General features: G+C 43.1%; 1 protein-coding gene and 1 long non-coding RNA gene across 5 annotated transcripts in view; one reads left to right on the forward strand and one right to left on the reverse strand.

Annotated features, from left to right (window-relative positions):
* LYZL1 (lysozyme like 1) overlaps window positions 1-14665 on the forward strand; it is a 29259-nt gene extending 14594 nt beyond the window's left edge. Inside the window, exons 4-6 of one of the 4 annotated variants that reach the window (XR_428650.2) lie at window positions 6447-6525; window positions 13647-13785; window positions 14488-14665. Coding sequence is in view for 2 of the 4 variants with exons in the window: in NM_032517.6 (NP_115906.4) it covers window positions 6447-6525; window positions 7327-7396 (149 nt within the window). In the remaining 2 variants the exon portion in view is untranslated. Of the gene's footprint in view, window positions 1-747; window positions 843-6446; window positions 6526-7326; window positions 7570-13646; window positions 13786-14487 lie in introns of those variants that run through there. The other 3 variants (XM_005252627.4, NM_032517.6, XM_017016791.2) reach the window with 3 other exon arrangements.
* On the reverse strand, window positions 8899-14001 carry LOC124902400 (uncharacterized). The gene is made up of 2 exons (XR_007062098.1): window positions 13846-14001; window positions 8899-9213 (listed from the first exon to the last, which is right to left on the reverse strand). It is a non-coding gene; the product is annotated as an uncharacterized LOC124902400 (long non-coding RNA).
* Window positions 14666-14887: the final 222 nt, after the last annotated feature.

The raw sequence follows: 14887 nt of genomic DNA on the forward strand, positions 1-14887 counted from the left end.
CGTGAAGAGCATGGGATTTTGGGGGATAGCCTTAAAATAGAAAACAAGATGTTGGTTTTATAACTAACCACCCTCCATGAAAGGCCTCCCTTAGCCTCAGGCCAGAGAGTTTTTTATTAGAACAATGTCATTCTGTCCCACATATTACAGAAGTAGGGACATTTGTCATGGGAAACTGAAAAAAAGTTAGCATTAGGGTGTGTTTACAAGGTACGTGACGTTATATGCATGTACAGCATGGATACACTTCATGATCTTTTTCTTCTTTTTGTTTTTGGTAGAGAAGGGGGTCTCGCCATGTTGCCCAAGCTAGTCTCAAACTCCTGGGCTCAAGCGATCCTCCCATCTTGACCTCCCAAAGTGCTGGGATTACAGGCGTGAGCCACTGCACCTAGCCCGTGACCATTTTCTGAAGCTGGACAGTCTCCTCACTCTCATTCCAAATTGTATTCCTAAAATGCCTTCCTACTTTCCCTAAACTATTTGGACAGAAAATTGATGCTATATTCATATATACAAAGCATACATAAGCACACACGTTCATATACCTACACATATACATACACACAGTGTACAAAATGCCTGATGTGATGACAGTATTTACCCCCAACAGCACAGATTTCATTAAAATAAGAGCATTTGAGGAAAAAATGATTATTGACTCTCTATCTAGTGTAGTCTAGTGCACTTATATTAATTTTATTTTTCATCACCCTGGTATCTGAATTGGCCTTTGTCATCTCACAGGGGAAAGAGATGAACATCGAGGGTGTGTGGCTGCTAGATTTCACTTGGGAGGCAGGAGGATGCCGAGGAGAGACACAGATACTTTGAAGTAGAACTAACATAACTGAAAATAGGACTGAAGCTCTTTTTGTGTAAATTGTTGCTGTTTTCTGTTGGATGTGGAAGAATAAACGATTCTTTGCTGTTCAACATAACCCTTTCTTTATTCATGTTTGACAGGACAGACTGTCTATTTAAAGTAAATTGAGCAGAAACAATTACTGGCAAGAGTCCTCATTTAAAAAGTGCCATCTGAACTCATTTCTGCCCCTCTGCTGCCCTTCTGTGGCTATTTCTTGTAACAACACCTCAGTGCTCAGGGCTGGGAGGCAGGAGGGAGCTCTTGATTTCCCAGCCCCTACTTTCCCTAACATATTTTCCCAAGCAAATTCAGTCAAGTCCAACTTTCAAAACATCCCAACTGCGCAACTAAATGCTATAACAAAGTAGGAGGAGACAAACAACTGTACTCGGTGTCCACTTCCTGGTCCAATATGGCCCCACCGTCCCAGAAATCCTTACAGGGCATCCACAATCAAACTGCCCTGCCCCTAGTACAAAATGTGCTCTTTCTGTACATGCCTGGGATGACCTCCAATCCCAGAATAATAGAATGTGATCTGCTTCCTCCTCACTATGTATTATATAATCTGTGTCCCTCCAACCTCTAGAGACCGCCCCAAACCCACATCTCCCAGAAAATATGCTAGACTACTTCCAAACACAAACCACAGTGTCTCAGCATTTATCAAGCACCCGAAATAAAGTGTCTCTAAGTAACTTGAACATGTATCAGGTACCAAATGCTTAAATTTGGATAACCTCATAGATAATTACTTGAAAAATTAATAAAGTATATTTTAATTATTAACTTTATTAACATATAGTGTTTTATGAGCAGGAATCTTTGCTTAAGTGACTTCTGTTGGAAGAAGAGATCAGAGGAAAACAGAATTTAAGCCCCCTATCAGAATACAGGCTCATTAACTGGGTGTGTGACCTTGGTTTATGGGGATAAAATGGTACCCACAGAAATGGTTGTTCAGAGAACTGATGGAGATTTTGCGTGAAGAGATTTAACATGTGCCTGACATAGAGTAAGATTTCTATAAAACATAAGCTAGTAGTAATAGCTATTATTATCTGAAATATTTATATGTCAAGAAGATAGGCAGGAGATTTTATAAGCTGATATAGCTTTAGTTTTCACTGTAGAATTGTAAACCAAATGCCAGCGAATTTGCATATGTTGTTTCAATTGCTATCTCTTACTGATGATATATTTTGTCAGTTTTTCTCCTGGTTAATAGAATTTTGTTTTAAATAAAAATTAAGTCACATTCAGAATAAATTTGCTTAAAAGAAATCTGTCACTACCTTTATCTTCTAGTGAAGCTGAACTGAGAAAGCCACAAAATTAGCAACTCAGGGAAATAGCATGCTCGAGGGAAAATTCCACTTCCAACAGAGTTAACAAAATAATCTGGTATTACAATGTTCTACTGAAATGCAACATTTTATGCTAGCATTTTTTACAATTATTTTTTTCTGGTATCAAAAATAGTGCATTTCTACTGTAAACAAATTTTAGAAAATACGCAGCAAAGACTTAAGAGCATTGGTGATCCCACAGTTAAGAGCCAATCCTTCTTAAAGTATTAGTGAATTAATGACTGTCTTTTTTTTCTAAACCAGTGCTGTCTAATAGAAGTTTCCGTGATGATGAAAATGTCTTCCATCTGTGCTGTCAAACATGAGAACCACTAGCCATGAGTGGCTATAAAGTATCTGAAATGTAGCTAGAAAAAATAAGGAACTTGGCCGGGCGCGGTGGCTCACGCCTGTAATCCCAGCACTTTGGGAGGCCGAGGCGGGCGGATCACGAGGTCAGGAGATCGAGACCATCCCGGCTAAAACGGTGAAACCCCGCCTCTACTAAAAATACAAAAAATTAGCCGGGCGTAGTGGCGGGCGCCTGTAGTCCCAGCTACTCGGGAGGCTGAGGCAGGAGAATGGCGTGAACCCGGGAGGCGGAGCTTGCAGTGAGCCGAGATCCCGCCACTGCACTCCAGCCTGGGCGACAGAGCGAGACTCCGTCTCAAAAAAAAAAAAAAAAAAAAAAAAAAGAAAAAATAAGGAACTAAAGTTTTAATTATGTTTAATGTTGATTAATTAAAATTCATAGTTTTTTGAATTTTTCCCAGCTTTAGTGAGGTATAATTGACAAATCAAAATAATATATATTTAAAGTAAATAACATGATAATTTTATTTTTGTATACATTGTGAAATGATTATTACAATCAAGTTTAACAAATCCATCACCTCACATAGTTACCGCTTATGTATGTGTGTGTGTGTGTGTGTGTGTGTGTGTGTGTGAAAGAGATTGAGAGAGAGAGAGAGAGAGAGAGAGAGAAGAACACTTAAGATTCTGGCTCTGTCACCCAGCCTGAAGTGCGGTGGTGCAATCTCAGCTTACTGCAACTTCTGCCTGCCAGATTCAAGTAATTCTCCTGCCTCTGTCTTCTGAGTAGCTGAGACTACAGGTGCATGCCACCACGCCTGGCTAATTTTTGTATTTTTAGAAGAGATGGGCTTCACCATGCTGGCCAGGTTGGTCTCAAACTCCTGACCTCAAGTGATCCACCTGCCTCGGCCTCCCAAAGTGCTGGGATTACAGACATGAGCTACTGTGCCCGGCTACTCTCAGCAAATTTCAAGTGAACAGTACAGTATAATTAACTATGGTCACCATATTGTACATTAGATCCCCAGTCCTTCCTCACCTTATAACTGAAAGTTTAGACCCTTCCATCAGCGTCTCCCCATTTTCCTCACCAGCTACTGCTCTACTTTCTGCTTTTATGAGTTCAACTTTGATAGATTTTGCATATGAGTGAGATCATGTGGTATTTGTCTTTCTGGGTCTTCCTTCCTTCACTTAGCACGATCTCCTTCAGTTCATTCATGCTGCTGCCAATGTCAGCATTTCCTTCTTTTCCATGACTGAATAATATTCCACTCTCTATATAAACATATTTTTATCCATTCATCGGTCAACAAATATAATTTAAATGTAAATTGTCACATGTTGCTAATGCCTGCCATATTGGCATTAGCCAATACAGCTCTCAATGGATATTTTTATGATATTGGGAACTTAACATTGCATTGGGAGCATTTCCCCCATGTTATAAAACATCCTGGGAAAACATAATTTAAATGGCTGTTTATTTTATTAAATGAAGGTATTATGATTAATTTGAACATCACTGATTATGAGGCAATTGGATTTTTTTCATTTTAACTCTTGTAAATAAAACTAGAGTAAACCACTTTGTAAAGAAATATTTGTCTAGCATCATGACTGTTTCCTTAGGATAGATCTGGAGAGATAAATTATTAGGTGAAAGGATAAACACCTCTTTAAGGCTCTAAACACATGCTGCTATGTTGGTTTCCTAAGACGTTGAATCCATTATACGCCCACGAGCAAGTATCCAGAGAACCTGCCTCTCTGTGCCCTTGTCAACGTCAAGCATTACCCAATTCTCTAAAAATCAAAAACAAAAACAAAACAAAACAAAACAAAACCTTTGAGTAATTGACAAGCAGAAATGAGATCAAGTGGTTTGAGTATTTTTGTCCTTGATTGGTGGTTGTGGTGGTCATGGAGATGGGCCTCCCAGATCCCCTGCTAAGGAAAGACGTGCTGCCCCCGCTGCAGTTGTGTGATGAGCAGACAGTACCTGCCACCTGCTTCAGGATTGGCTTCAGGTGCAGGTTGTTCCCTTCCGGGGTGACCCACACCCAGTGACATGTGAGGCAGAGGCATGCGGACCTGGCATGTGGGCCCGACTTGGGCCACTCTGATGGGCGGTGCTCACTCGGGAGCTCATGGCTGGGCTGCCCAATGAATTGCTGGGTCTGCGTCACAAATGGACATCTCCGTCTGCCCATCCTGCTTCCTCCACCCCATTCCTTTCATAGGTGTGGATCCCTGAGGAATATCTAGCACCTCAAACCCATCGCAGCGTCTGTTCCTGGAGACCCAAATTGCAACAGAAGTGATATTGGACTTTTACATTTTATTTGCCGTTTTCTGTCATGTTTGTGTTGAGAAGGATTCTGAGGCTACTTTTCAGGCAAGCAGGAAAGAATGCGGATATCAAACAATACATTTCAATCAAAAGATTTGTTATGTCTGAAGCAATAGAAAATGTAATAAGTGGCCAGGCACAGTGCTGGCTGTAGTATCAGCACTTTGGGAGCCAAGGCAGGAGGATCACTTGATCCCCAGAGTTCAAGACCAGCCTGGCCAACATGGTGAAACCTTCTCTCTGCAAAAAATACAGATAATAAAAATGGCCGGGCATGGTGGCCCATGCCTGTAGTCCCAGCTACTTGAGAGGCTCAGGTGGGAGGATCACTTAAGCCCAGGAGGTTGAGACTGCAGTGAGCTATAATCATGCCACTGCATTCCAGCCTGGGTGACAGAGTGAGATCCTGTTTCAGAAAAAAGGAAAAGTAATAAAGATAGAGATAGACGTATTTGACTTAAAACTTAAAACTTTTTGCATATGAAAAACACCCTAGACTGGGTGCGATGGCTCACACCTGTAATCCCAGCACTTTGGGAGGCCGAGGTGGGTGGATCACTTGATGTCAGGAGTTTGAGACCAGCCTGGCCAACATGGTGAAACCCCATCTCTAGTAAAAATACAAAAATTAGCCCAGCATGGTGGCACACACCTGTAATTCCAGCTACTGGGGAGGCTGCGGCAGGAGAATTGCTTGAAGCCAGGAGGCAGAGGCTGCAGTGAGCCGAGACTATGCCACTGCACTCCAGCCTGGGTGACAGAATGAGATTCTGTCTCACAAAAACAAAAACAAAAACAAAAACAAAACAAAACAAAACCCTGGATAAAAATTTTTTAAGGCACAATATGAAATGACAATAGACAAAGGTTTAATATTTACCTCCAAAGAGAACTTATATGTCAAACTAACCCACATAGAGAAAACATTGTGCTATCCTGTCTTATGTGCCATTTTTTTTTCTTAAGACAGGGTCTCACTCTGTTGCCCAGGCTGGAGTGCAGTGGTGTGAACACAGCTCACTGCAGCTTCAACCTCCTGGGCTCAAGTGATCCTCGCACTTCAGGCTCCTGAGTAGTTGGGACTAGAGGTGTACACCATCCCACCTGGCTAATTTTTTACTTTTTGTAGAGATGGGATCTTGCTACGTTGCCCAGGCTGGACTCAAACTCCTGGCCTCAAGGGATGCTCCCACCTCAGCCTCCCAAACTGCTGGTATTACAGGTCTGAGCCACCATGCCTGGCCTGCGCCTATTTCTTTAAGACATAAAAAACATTCTTGCATGGCATTTTCTCTAAACACATTTCCAAAAACCCTTCAGGATTGGGCTCTTCCTCTGAAACATCAGGTAGTGCAAGATGAAAACGGTCTTAAAACAACAACAAAAAGTTCTTTTTGAAGAAGCTTAATGAAAATAAGATTGTGGCTTTGCAGGCAAAATCATAGTTCTTCCAACCCTCTTGATCCAAAAAGACTGAGAAAAGTGAAGTAAAGTTGAGTTGAGGTCCCTCTCCAACAACAAAGTCTCGCCTAACCCTGATGTCTTCTCTCTTTTACAGCCTTGATCACTGATGACCTCACAGATGCAATTATCTGTGCCAGGAAAATTGTTAAAGAGACACAAGGAATGAACTATTGGTAAGAGTGTTTTCTTGGGAGACTTGTGCTGTCATGGGCAAAACCTAGTGTGTGTATTTATCACAGTTATGGTGGAATTGACAAACTCACCTCCGCAGAGTGGTCCAACCAATGGAAGGAGACCTTGTCTATATTCTCCTCCATCAGTGTGTGGGTGTGCAGTGAACATAGTAGTACATAGAAAGGGAGAGGAGACTTGGGATTGGGTTAAGATAATTTGCAATTGCTTTTCATATGAACGTATTCCAAACAATGGAGAAAGGTATTTTCTAAAGTGACTTGGAAAGGGTCAACTGAATCAATTCGAGAGAGGAAAAAAAAAAAAAGCTTGAGTTTGTTCTAGATTTGGATAAGATTTTGAAGGTTACAGCAACATTTTGCAGGGAAAGAGAATGAGCAGCAGCAAGAGGAAAGTGAGCAGGTCTGTGTCATGGCGACTCAGCAGAAAGCGTCCCCAGCATTGAGCCTGGGGCCTTGCATTCGCTGCTGCTGTGTTCTGGTGAACGTTGCCAGCCGGCCCCACTCAGAGAACCCGAATTTTCACAGATGTGGGTGTGACATGGAATGACCCATCCTTACAAAAGTTGATTGCTTGTTGCTGAAGCTAACAATGGCTAGGAGAAAACCAGGAGACAAAAGTCTGAACTAGGCAAAAGGACAGCATCCTTGAAGCTCAGAAGCAAATGAAACCCAACCCAGGGTTCCGCTGGCGATTTTGGTTAATTTCTGTAGGCTTTGAAACTAAGACGGTTTGGATTGTCACGCTTCTTTCTGCTGCTCCTGCTTCCCTCTCATCCTCAGGCAAGGCTGGAAGAAACATTGTGAGGGCAGAGACCTGTCCGAGTGGAAAAAAGGCTGTGAGGTTTCCTAAACTGGAACTGGACCCAGGATGCTTTGCAGCAACGCCCTAGGATTTGCAGTGAATGTCCAAATGCCTGTGTCATCTTGTCCCGTTTCCTCCCAATATTCCTTCTCAAACTTGGAGAGGGAAAATTAAGCTATACTTTTAAGAAAATAAATATTTCCATTTAAATGTCTTCACCCCGTCTCAGTTCCAATGATGTCATAATAGCATGGTGTTAAGACTTGAAAAATCACCTCCACAATGCTCTAGCCTTGGAAAAAACAAAGCTCCCTTCTTCATTGTAGGGAGTCCTGGTTTCTGTGGCCCTGAAACTGCTGCTCATTCAAAAATAAGACTCCCTCATCTTCAGGGCCATCCTCAGAAACAGGACACATGCAGAAGGGTGAGGTTAGGAACTAGGAGCACCTGAGGGGCCGAATCCCCTTAAGAGTACCCCAGAAGGACCGTCTATGCATGCCCACCCACAAGCCTAGACACCATTTATCTATCTACACGCACGCAAGAGACGCAGAGAGATAGGGCAACTGAGATTCACTGTTTGATATTGAAATTCTCATAAAAGTTCTCAGTTGCATTTTTTGTATTTTGTATTCTGCATTTTCCAAGTTTTTCCTGACATATTTTGCTATTAAAGAAAAACATCACCAGGCACGGTGGCTCACGTGTGTAATCCCAGCACTTTGGGAGGCCAAAGTGGGTGGATCACTTGAAGTCAGAAGTTTGTGACCAGCCTGACCAACATGGAGAAACCCCGTCTCTACTAAAAATACAAAAATTAGCCGGGCGTGGTGGTGCGTGCCTGTAATGCCAGCTACTCGGGAGGCTGAGGTGGGAGGTGGAGGTTACAGTGAGCCGAGATCATGCCGCTGTACTCCAGCCTGGGTGACAGAGCAAGACTCTGTCAAGAAAGGGAAGGGGAAGGGGGAGGGAACGTTTTTTTTCCGGAGTAAAAAATAAGACCCCTGGCCAGGCACAGTGGCTCACGCTTGTAATCCCAACAATCTGGGAAGCCAAGGTAGGAGGACTGTTTAAGGCCAGGAGTTCAAGGCAAGTCTGGGCAACATAGCAAGACCCTGTCTCTACAGCATTTTTTTTGTTTTGTTTTAGTTGCAGCTTTTATGCCTAAATCCTGCTGGAAATTCTAATGGGTCCAAACAGATAAAATTGTAGCTCTTACCCCTGACATCAAGAGAGTTCCCCATGTTATTCCACTTCTGCTTAAATCAAGCTTGTCAAACCCATGGCCTATGAGCTGCATGTGGCCCAGGATGGCTTTGAATGTGGCCCAACACAAATTTGTAAACTTTATTAGAGCATTATGAGATTTTTTTTTTTTGTGATTTCTCTTTTTAGCTCATCAGCTATTGTTAGTGTATTTTATGTGTGGCCCAAGACAATTCTTCTTCCAATATGGCCCAGGGAAGCCAAAAGATGGGACACCCCTGATTTAAATTAAATCTATCCAATTCAAAAAGCCATGCTTACAAGCTCACAACCCCATGACAAAGTTGTTTTCAACCTTAGACGTGCAGATTTTATTCGTATGGCTAGGAACTTGGTGACCCTCTGATGGAAGTCTGGTGACATGGCAGTGAGCTGAGCATCTCAGACCCCAAAGCGATATTCCCAGGATGCCTTCTGCTCCGCACAGGGATGGCACCCCCTCCTGGCTCCCATGGCGGGGTGGTTCTGTGGCACCTGCTGGGTTTTCTCTTGCCCATTATCAATCCACATGCCTCTGTTCTGCTGGGGCAGAGCTGGTTGGAGCTGTCTTGTTCTAAATTTAGGTGAAGGTAGTAGGCTCATGTTGAATGCAATTTGACCTGGAAAATGCCTTCAATTGATGTTTGTTGGAGAATTGGTTATGCCAACAAGTAAGTTTCCCACTTAGAAGAAAGTCTCCACTGATGAGACTGATGGATACTGTGACAGCGCCTAAATAACCCTTCAATATGCTCTTACTGCCAACTCCCCAGGCCTCAACTGATGGCTCCTTTCCTGCCCACCGGCTTGCCTTGCATGCAGAGGCTTTAAGAACGCCTAACCGCTACTTGCCTAAATAAATAAATAAACATGTTATATATTTCTAAACATACATGTCATCCTGGGACAATTTAACAGGCATTATAAACCCTGAGGGAAAAAACCTTTTGAACCCCATCTAAGAATTGAAAAGTAATTTTATAAGATAGCTGAAGAAAATTTGAAAAATGTAGAATCCATTAAGCTGCACTAAATCAATAATCTGTGCTTACAGAAGGCCATAAATATGCATTTTTCATTATTATTGTCCTGTTAGTCATCTGCCTTGCAGCCCCATTCTTAGCCAAATTTCTGCTTCATTAAAACCAACGGCACCTATTTATGAGCTAAGTTAGCATGAACCTGGCACCAGCCATTCAAAGACTGGGGGAAATATTTTTTTTAAACCAACTCCAAAAATAAGTGTTTTAAAATTTAAGGTAAAAAGACATTGGCTGTCCTAACATTAGACTCATCTATCTTTTTGCAAAACTCACAAGATTTCTAAGCATGCAATCCTACTCTTCCCCTTCCCCCATGTTTGATTTATTTCTATAAAGAATAATTTAGGATGAAAAGAATACATTTTCCCAGATAATTTTCCATAATTAAAGCCTTCAGAAATTCAAGAGGACATGAATACTTCTATGCCTGAGTTATCTTTATTTAACAAAAGCATATTTCAGAAAAACCCACACTCATATTCCCCTTTATAGTTTCTAAGACACTTGGAAGTAGATTTTCATTTACTCCTCGTGGCCACATTATCTGCTGGTTACCAGATACACTGAGCAGACCATTGGGTATTAGGGGATAGTGATTGGCTTATGTGGGTACATTCTTTCTGTGGGGACTCAGCTCTGCCTGATTCTTGGGACACCTCCCACTCCCCCAGCATCTGGCTCTTTGAATCCCAACTTGTTCCCTGTTGTTCCTCGATGCTTTCTGGTCTGGTCTGGTCTGTGATTTTCCCTTGATGCCTTTTATACCCAGTATATCATTTCCCCTCAGGTGTCCTTGCTCTTGGTTTTTCCCATACATGGAGGTTGTGCCACTCCCCTGCAGCCTATTCAAGCCTGGCCCAGCCAACACAAGCTCCCAGCTCCTCTAACCCCTAAAGCTCTTGCCTCTGAACACATGGCTGGTGTGTGCTGTAGGATTAGGTGACTGGGGATTAGTGTCCTCATCCAACCTGTAAGCTCTTTGAGGCCTGGACCATGTCCTTCACTGCTATATTTCCACAATCCCTGCTGCAGTGCTAAACACATAATAGTTAACATTCAAAAATATTTGATGTTGGCCAGCACTGCAGGAGGCCAAGACGGGAGGATCACTTGAGACCAGCCTGGGCAACACAGTGAGACCCCATGTCTACAAAAAGTACAAAGATTAGCTGCGTGTGGTGGTGCACACCTGTAGTTCCAGCTACTCAGGAGGTTGAGGTGGGAGGATCGCTTGAGCCCAGGAGTTTGAGGCTTCAGTGAACTATGAACTAGCCACTGCACTCCAGCCTGGATGACCGAGTGAGGCCCTGTCTCTTAAAAAAATTAATTAAAAAATTTGATGTTGGTTTTTTGTACCACTGGACACATGTGGAATCACAGAAAGTTTACAAATAAGACCTTGCATCTAGAACATTTTTGTTTTCAAATCAAGTTCATGTTTATTATTTCATACGCTCCTCACAACAATCTTGGGATATAGGGGAATGAAAACTTCACTCCATATACACGTCCCTGAGATACGGAAGGGGTAACTATCGCCCAGGGGCCACAGCGCAATGGCAGAGAATCCAAGAGGCCCCTGCTGCCCTGCGGGGATCTTCAGAACTCAGTGACAGAACGTGTCCTAGTTCCTTTACGAACAGGGAGTGCCTGAGCCCTTCACCTGTGTTCCACACAGCCACTTCCTTGAGTGTCTCAAATATGGCACAAACCCTAAGCCAGCCCCTGAAAGATCTGCAGGAACAATTTAGTCTCTTCAAGGTGAATTTAAAAAAATAAAGCCTTCATCAAGAGACCCAGGAAGATTTCCTCTGTGTCTCCAAAATAGAAGGAAAATGCTCTGGATGTCTAAAACTGGAACTGTCAATAAACAGGAACTACTCTTTCCAACTAGAAATACACTATATTTTTTTGATTTAAAAAATTTAGGCCGGGCGCAGTGGCTCACGCCTGTAATCCCAGCACTTTGGTAGGCCAAGGTGGGCGGATCACCTGAGGTCAGGAGTTCGAGACCATCCTGCCCAACATGGTGAAACCCCATCTCTACTAAAAATACAAAAAAATTAGACAGGCATGGTGGTGAGTGCCTGTAATCCTAGCTACTCTGGAGGCTGAGGCATGCAAATTGCTTGAACACTGAGGCGGAGGTTGCAGGGAGCCGAGATTGCATCACTGCACTCCAGCCTGGGCAGCAGATTGAGACTCCATCTCAAAAATAAATAAAAATAAATAAATAAATAAATAAATACCATAAAAATAAAAAGTTTAAGGGCTCGGGTGCAGTGGCTCATGCCTGTAATCCTAACACTTTGCCGAGGTGGGAGGATCCCTTGAGCCCAGGAGTTTGAGACCAGCATGGGCAACAGAGTGAGATCCCATCTCTACAAAAAATAAAACAGATTAGCCGGGTGTGGTGGCCTGTGCCTGTGGTCCCAGCTACTTGGGAGGCTGAGGTGGGAGGATCACTTGAGCCTTGAAGGTCAAGGCTGCAGTGAGCTCTGACCGTACCACCGCGCTCCAGTCTGGGCAACAGAGTGAAACACTGTCTCAAAAAAAAAAAAAAAGTTTAAAGCATGAAAATGTCTTCCAACATAGGCCAAATAGCCCCACTCCAGCCCTGCTCAGCCCCCCGGTGATGCTTCTCCAGGTTGCCAGGCTTCCTCTGCAGTGCTTCTGCCTTGAAGGGTCCGACTGCTTGAGGACAGACATCGCCATCCCCCAGCGCTTGGGCTGCAAGCAGTTCTTTACACACAGCGATGTCAGGGGAAGGAAATTCACACATCCAGCTTGCAGAGGAGTCATGGCCAGGGAGAGCTTAGGATCTGGATCTGGGAGGAACTGTGGGCACAGTAGAAGCTTCTGGAACAAAATGGGGCTCCTTGAGGGCAGGAAGGCAGCTTCACAGCACTCTGCCTTGAGCAGGTAATTCTTTCCCTCATTTTTCTCCCTTCTCTCATCTGATTCCACAAGTGCAGGGAAATAGAACAGGGGACACTCAGAAACTGTTCCGATTCACAGATTCAGCAGTCACTTTGGTTTAAACTGATCCTCCAGTAACAGGAGAAAGAGAAGAGGAAGCCCAAGGTCAGAAGCTAATGAAGAGAGTCTTGCTGGAGAGCAGGAGAGAGAAGAGAAGCAACGAATCTTTCTTTACACCAGGCTGCAGTTTGCACAGTTTTTACCACTGGGGCCTCCTCACTGATGTAACCCAAAAGAAACGCTGTGTTTTGAATGGAGACATTGTTTTACTCACCTTATTGGTTAGGCTCTGTTCATAACAATAATCTACATTCTTTGTAGAATAGATAGAAAATAATTTCCAAAACTGAAAAAAATCCATAACTGCTATTAATATATTTTGATGTTTTTTCTTCCAGGTTTTTTTTTTCTTTTTCTTTTTCCTTTTCCTTTTTTTTTTTCTTTTTTTTTTAGAGGCAATGTCTTACTCTGTCACCAGGCTAGGCTAGAGTGCAGTGGCGTGATCTTGGCTCACTGCAGCCTCAAACTTTCAGGCTCAAGTGAGCCTCCCTCCTCAGCCTCCCACGTAGCTGGGACTACAGGCGTGAGCCACCACTCGCAGCTAACTTTTTAATTTTTTTGTAAATACAAGGTCTTGCTATGTTGCCCAAGCTGTTCTTGAAGTGCTGGGCTCAAGCGATCCTCCCACCTCAGCCTTCCAAATTGCTGGGGTTAAAGGTATGAGCCATCATGTCCAGCCTCTTCCAGGTTTTTTACAGATTTTTAATAAAGTTGGAATTATAGGATACCTAATTTTATAGCTATTTTTAAATTAATACGACACAAGATTTTCCCCACATTAATATTTTCTAACACATGACACATAGGAACAGCATAACAGTTACTTACGCTGACCTGTGATTCACTTCCTCTCTCCCCTATGGTTGGATATTGAGGTTGTCCAGTACCATTTTCAGGCCTGGAGCTCTAGGCCAAGTTTTGCAAAGAGCCCTTCCTCTTCTCACTGTTTATTCTCCTCTGAACCTCACCAGAAGTCCTCAGCACATGTTCTTCATGGAGGTCATCTTTCCCTGGACTGCTTGGCTACTTTAGAAGTCAAATCAAGACTAGAAGTATGAAAGCCAATCACAATTTCCCAACAATTAGGATCCATCATTCACCATTTGGTTGGTACGTAGAGAAAACATTTTAAGTCAGTACTGTGCTGAAAAATCCTAAACATGCCATTACCTTAGCTCCAGGTCTTCTGTCCCTGGTGATGGAGCAAAGCCAATAGCTGTGCAAACAGAGTGGGGAGTAGACAGGGCGCCCTTGAGAGACTGCCAGAGCTAAGCCCAACTCCTCTGTGACTGGTGGTGTGAGCACAGACAAGACACTGAACCTCTCTGTTTCACTTCCTGTAAAATGGGAATAACAGTATTTGCCATGCACAGCCATGGTAAGGACTAGCAACCGTATTAGAAGCATGTTAATCACCTGGCACAAACCAGGCTTGTAATAAACATTAGTGATTAATTTACCTGGGGATGGTGGCACACACCTGTAGTCCCAGCTACTTGGGAGTCTGAGGTGGGAGGAGCGATTGAGCCTGGAAGTTCAAGGTTACAGTGAGCTATAATGACAGCACCGCACTCCAGACTGGGAAACAGAGTGAGACCCTGTCTCTTTAAAAAAAAAAAAAAAGTGATTACTATCCTATTTCTGCATTTTTCTTTGTCTATAATTTTGTAATAGGTGATTTCTAACAGGACCTGCAGACACTTTGAAAGGATAAACTACATTTTAATGTGAAATAAAGGCATGTTCAAAAAGCAAAGGTGCAGATAGTGGCTGAAAGAAACCACCTGAAACTGAGGCTGTTTATTTTCACAGGTCCCTGCTGCTAAGAATTCCAAACTACAAGGGAAAAAGTTAAACTCAGCTAGATTTCCCTGCCTGCTCAAGACCACAACCCCAGTGGCAACATAATTCTTGGTGAGGATGAAAAAACGAAATCTATACTTGCCTTGAGAAAGCATTCATGCAAAATAAAGCCCAGATTCATAAGTAATCTGACTTCAGCATCACTTTTCAAAACAGTATCCTGTTACCAGCTAAAGCAAACAGAGTGGTTCCAACCCCAGGAACTGACAGGCAGTGCAAAAGGGCAGATTGGAAGAGATTAAATATTTGTGCAAAAGCCCGTACCCCCCTTCACAAAGGGCTGCCTCTGTCTGGCATAAAAGGGAAGGGATGCGGGAACTGAGAAGAGGGCCTTATCTTTCCAGAGGAA

This window comes from Homo sapiens, chromosome 10 (assembly GCF_000001405.40).
Source record: "Homo sapiens chromosome 10, GRCh38.p14 Primary Assembly".
In the NCBI taxonomy this organism is placed as follows: Eukaryota; Metazoa; Chordata; class Mammalia; order Primates; family Hominidae; genus Homo; species Homo sapiens.